At 40.5% G+C, this 15,342-nt stretch overlaps 1 protein-coding gene across 33 annotated transcripts in view, besides 3 other annotated features; it reads left to right on the top strand.

The window, feature by feature from the left end:
* Window positions 1,319–1,458: a silencer, noted in NCBI's record as "silent region_19260". NCBI's record gives its function as "represses an Ori minimal core promoter by ATAC-STARR-seq in GM12878 lymphoblastoid cells {active_cell/tissue: GM12878}" and the evidence as "EXISTENCE:reporter gene assay evidence [ECO:0000049][PMID:35858748]".
* Window positions 1,319–1,584: a biological region, named in NCBI's record as "ReSE screen-validated silencer GRCh37_chr8:67976583-67976770".
* Window positions 1,397–1,584: a silencer, noted in NCBI's record as "fragment chr8:67976583-67976770 (GRCh37/hg19 assembly coordinates)". NCBI's record gives its function as "represses an EF-1alpha promoter that drives an FKBP-Casp9 reporter gene in an ReSE screen in HepG2 liver carcinoma cells {active_cell/tissue: HepG2}" and the evidence as "EXISTENCE:reporter gene assay evidence [ECO:0000049][PMID:32094911]".
* CSPP1 (centrosome and spindle pole associated protein 1) overlaps window positions 1,417–15,342 on the top strand; it is a 132,247-nt gene continuing 118,321 nt past the window's right edge. For 22 of the 33 annotated variants that reach the window (XM_011517598.3, XM_047422253.1, XM_047422245.1 and 19 more), the window contains exons 1-3: window positions 1,417–1,545; window positions 11,292–11,400; window positions 13,531–13,630. In XM_011517598.3, the coding sequence (XP_011515900.2) occupies window positions 1,448–1,545; window positions 11,292–11,400; window positions 13,531–13,630 (307 nt within the window). In that variant the 5' untranslated portion in view covers window positions 1,417–1,447. Of the gene's footprint in view, window positions 1,588–5,148; window positions 5,907–11,291; window positions 11,401–13,530; window positions 13,631–15,342 lie in introns of those variants that run through there. The other 11 variants (NM_001364869.1, NM_024790.7, NM_001438331.1 and 8 more) reach the window with 3 other exon arrangements.

The raw sequence follows: 15,342 nt of genomic DNA on the forward strand, positions 1-15,342 counted from the left end.
TTCTCCATCTCATTCTTCCATCCGTGCAAGATTTTAAGTTTCAAGACACAGGGAGCAGGTCTGCGTTCCTTGTTTTATCTCCTAGCACCTAGCATAGGTGTTCAAGATTTTTTTTTCTTTTATTTCCTGAAAAGATAGCATGACAGGCCAGGCGCGGTGGCTCACGCCTGTAATCCCAGCACTTTGGGCAGCCGAGGCGGGCTGATCACTTGAGGTCGGGAGTTCAAGACCAGCCTGGCCAACATGGTGAAACCCCGTCTCTACTAAAAAAATACAAAAAAAAATTAGCCGGGCGTGATGATGTGCGCCTGTAGTCCCGGCTACTCATGAGGCTGAGGCAGGAGAATCGTTTGAACCCAGGAGGCGGAAGTTGCAGTGATCCGAGATTGCGCCACTCCAGCCTGTTAGACAGAGCCAGTCTCAAAAAAAAAAAAAAAAAAAAAAAGAAAGAAAGAAAGAAAAAAGAAGAAAAAAGAAAAGATAGCACCACAGCTGTTAACAACCTGGCCCCTATGCACCTCTTCCAGCTTCATCTCTTTTTAGTCCCCCCTTGAAACTTTTCATTCTAGCAATGCAGATATCTTTACTTTGGCTTTGCATATGTGGTCAGCATTGCTTGAAACGCTCTTTCGTAAATTTTCTGCCTGGGAACTCCTATTAATCTTTAAAAATGCAGTCCAGTGAGATCGACCACGAACTCTTTCTTGACGCTCCAATTACCATTCCTTCCATTATGTCTGTAAGTCTCCGTAGGTGCTTCTATAACTGTTACAATGCGTTGTAATAATCAGTTAAGACAAAAACATTAGAATTATTGAATCCACACCACAGCTTGCTGTTTTGGCACTGACTTTCCGTTGAAGAAAATTTCCTTTAAAACCATCTTACAAAGAAATTTAGGGTAAAATAGTACATTAATACCTACCCTTAGTTCCACTCTCCTGGGAAACTAGAGGTCTCTTTTCTAGTGGTAGCATATGGCCATATGCGATTGTATTGGGGTGAACTGAATAATATGTTGAAAATGGTAATGAAAGCCCAGGACCCAACGTTGACCACACTCCTGGGCTAGGAGTAATGCCCTGAGAGGTATGCCAACACTTTTCCTCTCACTACCACCCCTCCCCATTTTTCTTTCCAGGCTCTTACACTGTTCCTAAGCTGGCTGGTGCATGGGAGGCTGGAGAGGCTGCAATAGATTTAGCCTGAGAAGTGGCCCCCACAGTTTAATAGCCCCTGGGCACAGCAGGAGAACGAGTTGACCAAGTCCCCGGCCAGCGTACTGGCGAACCGAGAGCAGCGGGCAGCTATGCGGCCTCCAGGACAGCAGGGGGCGATGTCTTGCCGCGCGGCCGCCTGCAGTGGGGGCGGGGCCGTACCCGGCGGTTGGCGAAGGGCGAGCGGAGGGCTGGGCCTGAGGGGCGGAGCCCCGGCCCGGAGGTCTGTCATGCTGTTCCCGCTCCAGGTGGCCGCTGTAACCTCTTCGGTCCGCGACGATCCTCTAGAGCACTGTGTGTCTCCCCGGACGCGAGCCCGCTCCCCTGAGTAAGAGTCAGCCAGCCGCGGATGGGGAGCGTGAGTGGCGAGGTGTGGCCTGGGGTGGTGTAGGTTGAGGGTGGAGGGTCCTGGGGCTGCATTCGCTGCCCCGGAGCGGGGGCAGGGGCAGTGGCTCCCTCGGGGCGTAGGTCTCGAGGCAACTAGGCCGGCGACGTGCCAGAGTTACAGGCTCTGGAATCTGGGGGTGGGGGTGGGGTTTCTTGTCGGCAGGGGGTCTCGTGGCGGCTGGGTGCGGTGGGGGAGGTGCCCGAGTTAAGGGTGTGGAGAGTTGGGATTTCGCCGCCGTGAGGCCGGCATCGGTGACTACGAGTTATGAGGGTTGGGGGCGGGAGTTCTGTGAGCAGGGGTCTTGCAGCTGCCGGGGTCGGGGAGGTTCCCTGGTTACACGGTCCGGATTCCTGGGCCACTGCGGTCGCTGCTGCCCGCGGTGTTGTTGATAGCTGGTTGCCTGACGACGCTTCCTAGTCAGCCACCTCCAGGGCCCGGGGGCGAGCGGTTCCTTGGTTCCCATGCGCCTTCTCTCCCCAACGGCCAGGCCCCCCCTGCTCCGTCAAGCCTCCCCGAGCGCCTTTCTTGCCCCTCGGTGCTTGTTATTGTTAACGTGGGAGCGCTTGTGCGCACTGCTTTGCTAGTAAAACTTATTTAATCTTCACCGTAGCTCGTAGCTCGTACTGTTGTGACCGTATTTCCCCCCGTGATTGCCCGACTGCTTGAGCTTGAACCTCTTGTTTCTAACTGCCTTGATTTTAGGAATCTTATGTGGGACTCAAATCCAGTTGTCAGTACATGTTATTAATGGGACTCATCTTTTGAGAGAGGCTAGCTCTCAAGATTGTAGGATTAAGACGCTTAACTAGGATTGCGGGGAAGACTAAATTCTGAAGTAAACCATCACCTACTTTCCAAACACCTTGGAAAATGCAGGGGCTTAAAAGCAACCGATAGGAATTTATAAAAAGCCTAAATTAGGCTTTATTCTGTGTGAAGGAATGACTTGTAATGTTGACAAGCTCCATGGAAGCTATTGAGGTATTTTCTTTTCTCCATATCATTCTTCTCCCTAGGAGGTCGCTAGCTTTCTGGTGATTAAATGTCTGCTGAAATGCTCCACAAGGATCAAGTTTTTTTGTTTGTTTGTTTTGTTTTGTTTTTGGAGACAGGGTCTCGCTCTGTTGTACAGGCTGGAGTGCAGTGGCATTAGTAGAGAAGGGGGTTTCACCTTGTTGGCCAGGCTGGTCTCGAACTCCTGACCTCAAGTGATCCGTTTGCCTCGGCTTCCCAAAGTGCTGGAATTACGGCCCTGAGCCATTGTGCCCGTTCAAGTTTGGGTCTTCTGCCAGATGGCCGCCTGGGAGGGAGTGGGTGAGTTTAGACAGAGTAAATTGAAACAGGCTACTTTCGGTACAGTTTTTCTCAGATGAAGCTTTCAGACAAATATGAATTAACTGTTACACATTTGAGCAGATTTCAGATTATCCTTTTAACATCATTCTGACTTAGGTTCTGATGTACTTTCCTGAGTGGCAGGCAAGGGTGTTTGAGCAAGTGTTTCAGCAATTTGGCATAACCCAAAGGCTAATTTATGCTACTGCCGTTAATCACCATTAAGGGTGTATTATTAATAGCTACTGAAAGACTTCAACATGGTTTTATATATTTATTCACTCTCTCTTTGTATCCTGTCTCCCAGCCTCCCTCTCTTTCCCCCAGCAACAGTATTTACATCTTAGCAATATTTAGGGAAATTTGTCAAAATTTTGGTGTACCCATGGGAGGAAGTTGCTCATGTGGATGCCATCTGCCAGGAGGAAGATGGAGAACCTTTCATTCGGTAGATGGATCTCTGGATGGATGAGAAGTGAGAAACATTGTCCTGGTCACTTTGTCCCTCCCTTTCTTCTAAAGCTCTTTCACTGGCCCCTCCCCCCACCGCACATGTTATCACACTTTGACACCTGTTCTAGGTCCTGTTCCCCTACTCTAGGGTCTCTTTTTCCAGACAAAACTCTTCTCCCACAGCCTTAATGATTATTTTAAACACTGCTAGATCTTTATTTCCAGCCTGGGTTCTATTCTGAGTTGTAGACATTTTCAGATTGATTTCTTCGTATCTCCGGTGTATCCATTATGGATATCTCACATTCAGCTCCTAAACCCCTGTCAGCCTCTGTAGCAGGGGGCATTATCTTGTCCAAATTTGAGGACAAGAATCATGTTTATATATATACATATATATACACACACACATATATACACACATATATATTTGTTTTTTGTTTGTTTGTTTGTTTGTTTTTTGAGACAGAGTCTCACTCTGTTACCCATGCTGGAGTGCAGTGGTGTGATCTCGGCTCACTGCAACCTCTGCTTCCCATTTTCAAGCAATGGTTCTGCCTCCTGCTACACCCAGCTAATTTTTTTATTCGTAGTAAAGATGGGGTTTTGTCATGTTGGCCAGCCTGGTCTCAAACTCCTGACCTCAAGCGATCCGCCCGTCTTGGCCTCCCAAAGTGCTGGGATTACAGGCGTGAGCCACGGTGCCCAGCCACATTTTATATTTTTGACTACGCCAGCCTCTAGCACAATGTCATGCTTTAGGAGGGAAGTCATTTTCCATTTCTCATGCTCCCATAGTGGGGAGGAAATTTGTACTCCACTCCTTGAGAGGGAAAAGGATAGGAGCAACATTTTCCCATCTTTTTGTGACTGATGGATTTGGGAGAAGGAATTGGGCAAACTCAGTTTTAACTGGGTTCTGTTTGTTTATTGGATTTGACTAGACTTAGCAGAATGGGTATGCTCTGGTCTGCTTATATCTATATGATAAGCATAAAGAGCCAAAGGTTAAGGTTTAGAGATGTTGGTGTGGATTATGATAACCAAGTATCAATTATTGATTATTTAAATCTCAGCATACTTTACGTTTGCAGGCTCTGTTTTTTTTGTTTGTTTGTTTGTTTGTTTTGGTTTTTGAGACAAGAGTCTCGCTCTGTCACCTAGGCTGGAGTGCAGTGGCACGATCTCAGCTCACTGCAAGCTCTGCCTCCCAGGTTCACTCCATTCTCCTGCCTCAGCCTTCTGAGTAGCTGGAACTACAGGCGCCTGCCACCAAGCCTGGCTAATTTTTTGTACTTTTAGTAGAGACGGGGTTTCACCGTGTTAGCCAGGATGGTCTTGATCTCCTGACCTCGTGATCCGCCCGCCTCGGCCTCCCAAAGTGTTGGGATTACAGGTGTGAGCCACAACGCGCGGCTGCAGGCTCTGTTTTTAAGAGGTAAATCTTCATATATGCAAAGACTGTAAAGATACAACCATAAACAATAAAAGAATTGATCTGTTGATTTCTTTTTTTTTTTTTTTTGACAGAGTATTGCTCTGTCATCGAGGCTGTAGTACAGTGGCGTGATCTGGGCTCACTACAGCCTCTGCTTCCTGGGTTCAAGCAATTCTCCTGCCTCAGCCTCCTGAGTAGCTGGGACTACAGAGGTGTGCCACCATGCCTGGCTAATTTTTGTATTTTTAGTGGAGATGGGTTTTGCTGTGTTAGCCAGACTGGTCTCAAACTCCTAACCTCAGGTGATCCACTCTCCTTGGCTTCCCACAGTGCTGGGATTACAGGCATGGGCCACTGCGCCTGGCCTGATCTGTTGATTTCTAAGTGTTAGGTTCTCTGTCATAATTTTTATATGCATTATTTTCTTTTTTCTTCATAATATACTAGAATAAATGATATTTCTGTTTTATAGATTAGGCATAGAGCAGTTAAGGAACATGCTTGAGGTCATTCATGTTGAGATCAATAAGTGATAGAAGTATATTTCAAACTCAGTTCTTTCAATTAAACTATTTTCCTGAAAACTGTTTATCATCTACATACTATGTACACAGCTACTGGAGAAATAATACTTGGCCATGATGTCTTGAAAAAAGTTGTGAGTGACTTTATATTGTAGAGTGTCATATATAAATAATCTCATTTAGGTTTCTTTCAGCTGATTTATTTTTGGCAACTTAATCCTTAAATTATAAACTTTCTTACTCTATATTGTACCTATGCCATATTTATTAACCCAGTCTCTGTGATTCACCAAGTAATTCTTGAATAATTGTGTAGTTGAAATATGTTTTCTGTAAGTTACCACATGCTTTTAGGAGTGAGAAAAAGAAAAGTGGCCGTGATATCTAGAAACTGGTATTGCTAGAAACTAGCCTGGCATTCACAGTAACTTTGTGTTTTTCTGTTGAAGATAAACTATTGTACAGAATGTCAACATCAGATAAGGCCGCTCTGTGTCTATGATGGATCAAGACAAAAACATTCCATCAGTGTCTCCAAACACAGACAAAACGTAAATATTGTCCAAGAACCGAGATACCAAACATTCCCTTTCCCAGCTGATGTGAATGACTACTGCTTGTTTACCAGTTACAGCATTAGCCTCCCCCTATATTTTAGATTTATTGAGTGGTACCATCATAGAATTAACCCCACTTCTAACAGTGTTCAATCCTGAGCAAAGCTCCACTTCCTCAAATTAAGCCTTCCCCCAAATCACCCAACACATATAAGTCTTTTCCAATACCCTCTTACCACGATACCACAGGGTTCCCCATGGTGTGTGTTCTCCGTGCATTCCTTAATGCAATGAGTAGTACATCCAACTTAACTGTGGTAGTTTTCCTGGTGTTCTTTGGCTGGAGATCATTACCAGGAGAAAGCTCATTAGTGTCTTTGACTCTTTAATATTAAAGTCATTATAATCTAATCAGATTAGATACAGGAAAAATTTAGAAATGATTAGAAATGTACTTATATCTCGGATAAATCTTATGTTTTAGTTATGGCATATGCTATATTTACTATGGTTGTTTAAAAGTATGTTTTATTTGTACTTTTTGTACTTTTGATTACTGTAAGTTAAAATCAGTTCTATAATTTATAATGTTAAATAATTACAGTAAAGAGAAAGATAAGCATCTATAAATTCAAGAGGGAGATCTTTCAAAGCCTGGTTAGAACAACATGTAAATGAACATGTTAAATTAATAATTGTTATTAGGTGGTATGGAAACCTTAGTTCCATGTGAAGGTGGCATGTTACTGTTTTTTTTTTCTTTTTAGATAAATGACATTTCTTTTTTTTCTTTTCTTTCTTTTTTTTTTTTTTGAGATGGAGTCTCACTCTGTTGCCCAGACTGGAGTGCAGTGGCATGATCTCGGCTCACTGCAACTTCCACCTGCCTGGTTCAAGCGATTCTCCTGCCTCAGTGTCCCCCGGTAGTTGGGATTACAGGTATATACCACCATGCCTGGCTAATTTTTGTATTTTTAGTAGAGACGGGGTTTCGCCATATTGGCCAGGCTGGTCTCGAACTCCTGACCTCAGGTGATCCACCTGCCTCACACTCCCAAAGTGCTGGGATTACAGGCGTGAGCCACCGCCCCCAACCTAGATAAATGACATTTCTGTTTAAATTCTGTGCAAAATTCTATAGCAAAATATATGCGTTATCTCATCATTTTATTCCTATCAGACATAGAATATTTAGGGAAGATTAGAGGATTTTGAGGATTGATTGTTTTAAACATGAAAACTTGTTTGCTGTTGAGTTCAGAATTTTTACTAGGAAAAATCTTTCGTGACTATTAGCAAATTAAAAATGGCTGAAATAAGTCGGGACGGTGGCTCACACCTGTAATCCCAGCACTTTGGGAGGCCGAGGCAGGCGGATCACGAGGTCAGGAGATTGAGACCATCCTGGCTAACACAGTGAAACCCTGTCTCTACTAATAATACAAAAAAATTAGCTGGGCATGGTGGTGGGCACCTGTAATCTCAGCTACTCGGGAGGCTGAGGCAGGAGAATGGCATGACCCCGGGAGGTGGAGCTTGCAGTGAGCCGAGATCGCGCCACTGCACTCCAGCCTAGGTGACAGAGCGAGACTCCATCTCAAAAAAAAAAAAAAAAAGCTGAAATAAGCTGAGTGTGGTTGCTGGCAGTTATAATCCCAGTGATTCTGGTGGCCAACATGGAGGATCACTTGAGCTTAGCAGTTCAAAGTTACAATGAACTATGATCGTGCCACTGCACACTAGCCTGGGCAGCAGAGCGAGACCTCATCTCTAAAAAACAAAAAACAACAAAAGAAATTGGCCAGAATTTATCAACTTTTGTTGATTTGAAGTATATTTTGCTAAAACTATATATGTAAATATATATATATATATATATTTCTATTTTTAGTGTTTTTTTTTGAGATGGGGTCTTGCTCTGTTGCCCAGGCTGGAGTACAGTGGCATGCTCATAAGCTCACTGTAGCCTTGATCTCCTGGGCTCAAGTGATCCAATCCTCCTGCCTCAGCTTCCCCAATAGCTGGGACTACAGGATGCACCACTATGCCTGGCTAATTTTATTTTTATTTTTAGTAGAGACAAGATCTTACTATGTTGCCCAGGCTGGTCTTGACCTCCTGCGCTCAAGTGATCCCACCTCAGCCTCTCAGAGTGCTGGGATTACAAGTGTGAGCCACCAAGCCCAGCCTACGGCTATGTTTTAAAATCAGTGTTTCTTTTGGCATTACATAATGGCGTGAAGTTTACATTAGGTACTGTTTACCTGTTATAAGTTTCAACATATTCTTTTAGGTAAAGCCTGCTTTTCTACAATGATATATATATATATTTTACAAATTATTATTGTCCCAAACATTAAGTTCAGGGGATACTTTTTTTCTTTAACTTGCTTGCATTTGATATTGTTTACCAGTTCTATTTTGTACCTCTTTCCTCTTTTCCTCAACTAATTATGCTGATTGGGTTTGTTTCATATCCCTGTTTTAATTATTATTTAATTATTCCCTCTGTTTTTTTTTTTTCCCCCAGCTTCAATTCTTCTGTCACTCCCTCAAGTGAACATTGGCTGTTGTTTAGTTCTGGGTCATCTCTCTTTTTCCCTCCCTGTGCTCATTTACTGTGGCTTCAACTGTTACCTTTAAAATACATAGTTAATGTAGTTCATTTTCTTGAATTTGAATCTTGAATTTCTAACCGTCTACTGTAAATTTCCAGTAGCACATCTTACTAGCTCCAACTTAACATATGTAAACCAAACCTTTCTAAATCTTCCAACTTGCTCTGACTTACTTCTGTCCAAGATTCTATCCACATTTAGCTTCCAGGCCTTAAAACTTTGATCATTAGTGGCTTCTTTTTTGTCTACGTACCCAATTAGATGCTAACTTTAATGGGACTTTGGAAGATGTGTTTGGAAAAAAATTCTAGGTTAAATGAAGAAAGGTTAGTCTTTTCAAAAAATGGTGCTGGAATACTCTATTCATATGCAAAAAAGTTGAGCCTTGACACTTACAGATTTGCAAAAATTAACTTTGAATGGATCACAGACTTAAATGTAAGAGAAAAAACTAAAAACTTCTAAAAGGAAACATAAAAGAAAATATTTGTGATCTTGGGTTAGGCAAAGATTTTTTTTAGCTGGGCGTGGTGGCTCACACCTGTGATCTCAGCACTTTGGGAGGCCAAGGCAGGTGGATCACAAGGTCAGGAGATTGAGACCATCTTGAGACCATCCTGGCTAACACGGTGAAATCCCGTCTCTACAAAAAATACAAAAAATTAGCCAGGTGTGGTGGCGGGCGCCTGTAGTCCCAGCTGCTCAGGAGGCTGAGGCAGGAGAATTGTTTGAACCCAAGAGGCGGAGGCTGCAGTGAGATTGCGCTACTGCACTCCAGCCTGGGCGACAGAGCAAGACTCTGTCTCAAAAAAAAAAAAGATTTTTTTTAGATAGGACACAAAAAGTACAAACAAATTTAAAAATTGATAAATTGGACTTGATAAAAATTATAAACTTTCACTGTTAAAAATATATCAAGAAAACTTACAAACCACAGATTGGCAGAAAATATTTTTACAAAGCAAGTTTTGTAAAATATTGCTTTGTAAAAATAAAGCAAGTTTAATAAATGACTTTTATCAAGTGTATATAAAGAAATCTTACAATTCAATGGTAATAAAACAACCTGCTGGGCTTGGTGGCTCATGCCTGTAGTTGGAACACTTTGGGAGGCCGAGGCAGGAGGATCACTTGAGTCCAGGAATTGAAGGGGTAACATTGAGCTATGATCATACCACTCCAGCCTGGGCAACGTAGTGAGATCCTGTGTCTGCAATAAACAAACAAATGAAAAAACTAGCTGGGGATGGTGGTGCTTGCCTATAGTCCTAGCTGTTCAGGAGGCTGAGGTGGGAGGATTGCTTGAGCCCAGGAGTTCAAGGCTGAAGGTGTACTATGATGGCAACACTGTACTCTCTAGCCTGTGAAACAACGAGAGAGCCTGTCTCAAAAAAAAAAAAAAAAAAAAAGAAAGAAAGAAAAGCTAATTTTAACAAAAGGGCAGATTTGAGTAGATACTTTCCCAATGATTATATGTATGGTAAAAAAATAGATGAAAAGATGCTCAACATCATAGTTATCAGAGAAATGCAGATTAAAACACTCAGAGAGATAACCACTAAATAAATACACAATAGAATGACTAAGATAAAAATGACTGAAAATATCACGCCCTGGCAAGGATGTGTAGAAATTGCAATTGTCATTACAACCCACATACATTCTTATACATTGGAATGTAAATATGGTACTTTGTACTTTGAGGAACAGTTTAGCAGTTCAGGAATTAGACAACATCTTGACCATATAATAAAAAATAACATCACTAACAAGGGGCAGGTAAATATCACGTGCCTTCTCTTTGTGACACCTTAAAATTTCACCTAATATTTCTGGTGAGAATGCATAATCTAAATTTAGTCATTAAGAAACATCAGGCACACCCTAGATGAGGGATGTTCTATTGAAAAGGATGTTCTGTTACACAGGATTCTTTTACCTGTGTAAATTGGTAAAAGACAAAGAAAGATGGTAGAGATAGATATTCCAAATTAAAGAAGGCAAAAGAGATATAGCAGTGAAATGCAATCAGTACCTAACTTAGATGGGATCCCGAATTAGAAAGAGAAAAATAGGCTGTAAAGGCTGCTATTGAGTCAGTTGACAAAAGTGGAATATGGACAATAGATTAAAAAATCAGTGTTACAAAAGTTGATAATTATGTTGAGGTTATATAAGAAAATAACCCAATTCTTAAGACACACACACTGAAGAGCTTAGGGGCAAAGGGCTATGATATATATACTTTATTCTCTGAATAATTTTAGAAAAAATTGTGTTTGTGTGTATGGAGAGAATGACCTTGTGTGCACAAGCAAAGGATGAAGCAAGTGGAGCCAAATCTTAATAGGGAATTAATAAAGACTCTTTGTGTGTTCTTGGTATTATTACTGTAACTTCTCTGTAGGTCAGAAATTATCTCCCAATATTTAAAAAAAACTTTTTTTTTGAAGTGCTTTGGCTTAAGGATTTAAAGAGCTTTTTGTTTGCTTGCCTTCGTTTTTTGCCGGAGAGGGAGTGTATATGGAGGGTGGTGGTAGTTTTTCATTTTCTTTTTATTTCAGATATTTTAAAGTATATTGTAGGCTTTTTGGGGAAGCTGGGAGAGGCAGTAGGCAGGCATATTTATGATCAATCTTAAGTTTGAATTTCTCAATTTGATAAGTGAGATTGAAAACTAAATGTGGACTAAGCCTACATGTTGATAATTAGGCTAAAAATACTGTGATATAGATACGCTCACTGAAATTTTTTTTTAAAGAATCTGCAAAATGGCTGATAATTTGGATGAATTTATTGAAGAGCAAAAAGCCAGATTGGCCGAAGACAAAGCAGAGTTGGAAAGTGATCCACCTTACATGGAAATGAAGGTAAATTTAATAATTTTCTTTGAACATGTTTTATTATAATTGTCTATGGAGATTACTCCTGTGTAAATACAAAACATCCTCTTCTATGAGTGAGAATCTTCTGTTTTGTAGTATGCTGTCATTCTAGGAGCCTGACTCCAGACAAGATTGCAGTAATTTTGAATGCAGTTTTTCTTTTGTGGTGGTTTATATCTCACAGTGTTTCTCTTATCTCTTGTTGAAGAATTATTTGGTTATAAAATGATTATGAGACCAGTTCTATTACAAAGAACTTCCACAACATAAACAGAATAGTTGTAAAAGCAAGTTTATAGTCTATGTGAAAAAATTCAATTTAATTAGTTTAAAAAGTTTTTTTGAAATCTGAAAAAGTGAATTTATTAATTTATTTTGTACTATTTGTGTTTCTTAATATAAATTTCTTAAAATAATTGCTTTTTTTTTTTTGAGATAGAATCTCGCTCTGTTGGCCAGGCAGGACTGCAATGGTGTGATCTCAGCTCGCCACAACCTCCGCCTCCCAGGCTCAAGTGATTCTTCTGCCTCAGCCTCATGAGTAGCTGGGACTACAGGTGCCCGCCACTATGCCTGGCTAATTTTTGTATTTTTAGTAGAGTTGAGATTTCACTATGTTGGCCAGGCTGGTCTTGAACTCCTGACCTTGAGATCCACCCACCTCGGCCTCCCAAAATGCTGAGATTACAGGCATGAGCCAGTGTGCCCGGCCTAAAATAATTGTTTCTTAAAGCAATGTCTTAAAGGCTTTCTTAAAGCTTTCCTTGTTTAGGTGAAACTGATTTATCCATTTAGCAAATACTTACTGAGATTGTGTTAGGTATTATGCTAAGCTCTGAGAATGCAGCACTGATTAGAGTGTTGTGGCACCTTCTCAGGGCTCAGTGTATGTAATAAGATACAGCATGTAGTTTAATCTGTGCCATATGGTTCATCATAATGACAGTAACCATATATATTGGTTTGTTCAAGATGATCCTGGTTTACCTGTTGTCCAGTGTTTTTTTCTGGTTTAGCATTTGTCCTGGACAAAGGTACCTTGGCTGAGATGATAAATAATATAGATACCCTGATTACAATTTTACTCACATGGCTAACATTTATTGAGTACTAGCTATGGACAAGGCATATTCTTAAGAGGTTATATTTCACAGTAATCTATGAGGTAAGTGCTGTTATTGTAATTTTCCAGATGAGTAAACTGAGGCAAGTTAAGTAATGAGACTAAGGCAGTAGAGTTGGTGGAACTAGGCTTTGACCCCTGGCAGCCTGGCTTCAGTGCTTGTCCTCGGAACCAACATAATAGGTTGCCTTTCTTCCAGATAACCTGTCATGTACCAGGAATGCCAAGGACTTTATATGTATCATTTTATTTAATCATAATATCCCTGTTAAGCAGGTGAATTTTTTTTGTTTTATGGATTAAGAAAGTGAAGCTCACAGGAGTTAAGTAATTTGTCCAGGTCCACACAGTGGTGGATTCAGGAGTGGAACCTTTATGCAGCTCCAGAGTCTATCTCTTAACCACTCTCCAGTAGTTAGGACCAGCTTACGGCTTTGGAGTTACATGATTTGGAGTACATAGCTTTAAAGACAGTTTTGTTATAATTTCTAACATTAATTTGTACATAAATAATTTTAAGTCTTAGTTCAAGTATCACCTGCTCAGTGAGGCCTTATAGTCCCCCAGCATTTCTGGGCCTCCTTACTTTAATCTGCTTTTTTTTTTTTCCATAACCACTTCCTGCCACTATCTACATATCACATAATCTAATCATGTGTTGAGTTCATTATGTGTCCCCCCAATAGTTTATAAGCTTCATGATGGCAGAAATTCTTCTATTTTTTAAAACTCTTATACTTTCAATGCTTGACAAAATGTTTGGCACTTAATGGGAACTCAGTAAATATTTGTTGGTAAGTGAATGAGTTAAATATTAGAATATCTATTATAAAATTAAAATACCTTTGGCTAATTCCTCAAACCTTACACTTAATTTCTTCTATGATGTACTGTGTAATTTCATCAAGCTGTTTAATTAAAATTTGAGATGAGTTGTATATTTCATGGTTTTTTTTTTCCTCTTGCTTTTGTAAACATTATGTCTCTTTCAGGGAAAGTTGTCAGCGAAGCTTTCTGAAAACAGTAAGATACTGATCTCTATGGCTAAGGAAAACATACCACCAAATAGTCAACAGACCAGGGGTTCCTTAGGTATGTCATTAGATGTGCTAAACTTATTTTAAGATATCCTTAGTGGGCTCTTCTGAAAGAGGTTTGTCTTGTCAGAAAAAAAGATTTATTTGGAATCCTAGTAGTTTTTCTTTCTGGAATCTTACGTAAGTCAATATGGTCTACATATGAAATAGAACTCATACTGAAAACTTTGTACTTGTTTTATGTGATACTGCATTGGTTATGATTTATGGAACTTATAGAAGAAGGTGTGTATAACATAACTTAAAAATTGAAAACTTTGAAAGGAATTTGTGTGTGTGAGAGAGAGAGAGAAGAGAAACTTTTATTTGTTGATTGAAAATGGTGAACTTGCTTATTTAAAAATTAAAGAAATATGCTTAAAGGGTACAAAATGCTGTTTGGTGAAAGACTATTTTAATTATTGATGATCATGTTGGAATTGTAAAGAAGTTAATACTGTAGCCATACTAATGCTTTGATTATGGTATGGTATGAAAATATTTGGAAACTTTTTACCACATTTTGGCTTGTTGGTAGGTATACATTTTAAAAAAAGAAAATGTATGAATATGTAAAAATTTTTGTTTATTTATTAAAGACAGGGTCTCTCTCTCTCTCTCTCTGTCACTCAGGCTGGAGTGCAGTGGCATGATCATAGTTCAGTGTTATCTTGAACTCCTGGGTTCAAGCAATCCTCCTGCCTTGGCCTCCCAAAGTACTACAATTACAGGCCTGAGCCACCATGCCCAGTCTGTATGAATATATATAATTTTTTTTTTTTTTCTTCAAGGCTGAGTCTGACCCTGTCGCCCAGGCTGGAGTGCAGTGGCACGATCTCGGCTCACTGCCGCCTCCACCTCCCAGGTTCAGGCGATTCTCCTGTCTCAGTCTCTCAAGTAGCTGGGATTACAGGCGCATGCCACCACACTCAGCTAATTGTTTATATTTTTGGTAGAGACAGGGTTTCGCAGTGTTGGCCAGGCTGGTCTCGAACTCCTGACCTCAGGTGATCTGCCTGCCCGCCTCGGCCTCCCAAAGCTGGGGTTACAGGCGTGAGCCACTGTGCCCGACCTGTATGAATATTTTCAATGTGCATTTTGTGATTTATTGATGATGACAAACTTTTTCACAAAAAGAAAATCAACTATGATAAGTTCATTTGATTAAAGCATTGTTCTCAAATGGACAGCTTTTCATGGATGTAGGTATACTCCTAAATTGTTTTTGTGTGCCAGTGGATACAAGGGGATGCCGGCCAAGAAACTGGATAGTCAGTAAGCTTTGTCTCTGCATTAGACAAATAGCTCAAAGTGAGTGCCCTACTTTTAATATCAGATAGATAACTCTTTCCATTTTGAATCTCTTATAAATTATTAATATACAGCATTAGTGAACTAAAGTATTATATATTGGTAAAATTTTTTAATCTCTAAGGCTCTCAATTTTTTTTCTGTGAAATAAGTTTGATTATCTTCCAGCCCTACGTTTTTATGAATCTAAATTTTAATTATTCCAAGAGATAATTTTTAAAAAGTTTAATAGTAGGTTATCTCAAGCACTAAGGTCGCTAAGGTTAGACAGAATCCCTTTTAAATTCTAGGGTTACAGCTTGCTTTGGATTGGGCTGTGATGCCTTTATGACCTGTCAGGAGCTACACTTTGTTTCCTTATCTTATGACATCTATCTCAAAAAGTCGTTATGGGCGAAAGTTAAATACGTGAAAAGA

The sequence above is a fragment of the Homo sapiens genome, chromosome 8 (genome assembly GCF_000001405.40).
Source record: "Homo sapiens chromosome 8, GRCh38.p14 Primary Assembly".
Taxonomy (NCBI): Eukaryota; Metazoa; Chordata; class Mammalia; order Primates; family Hominidae; genus Homo; species Homo sapiens.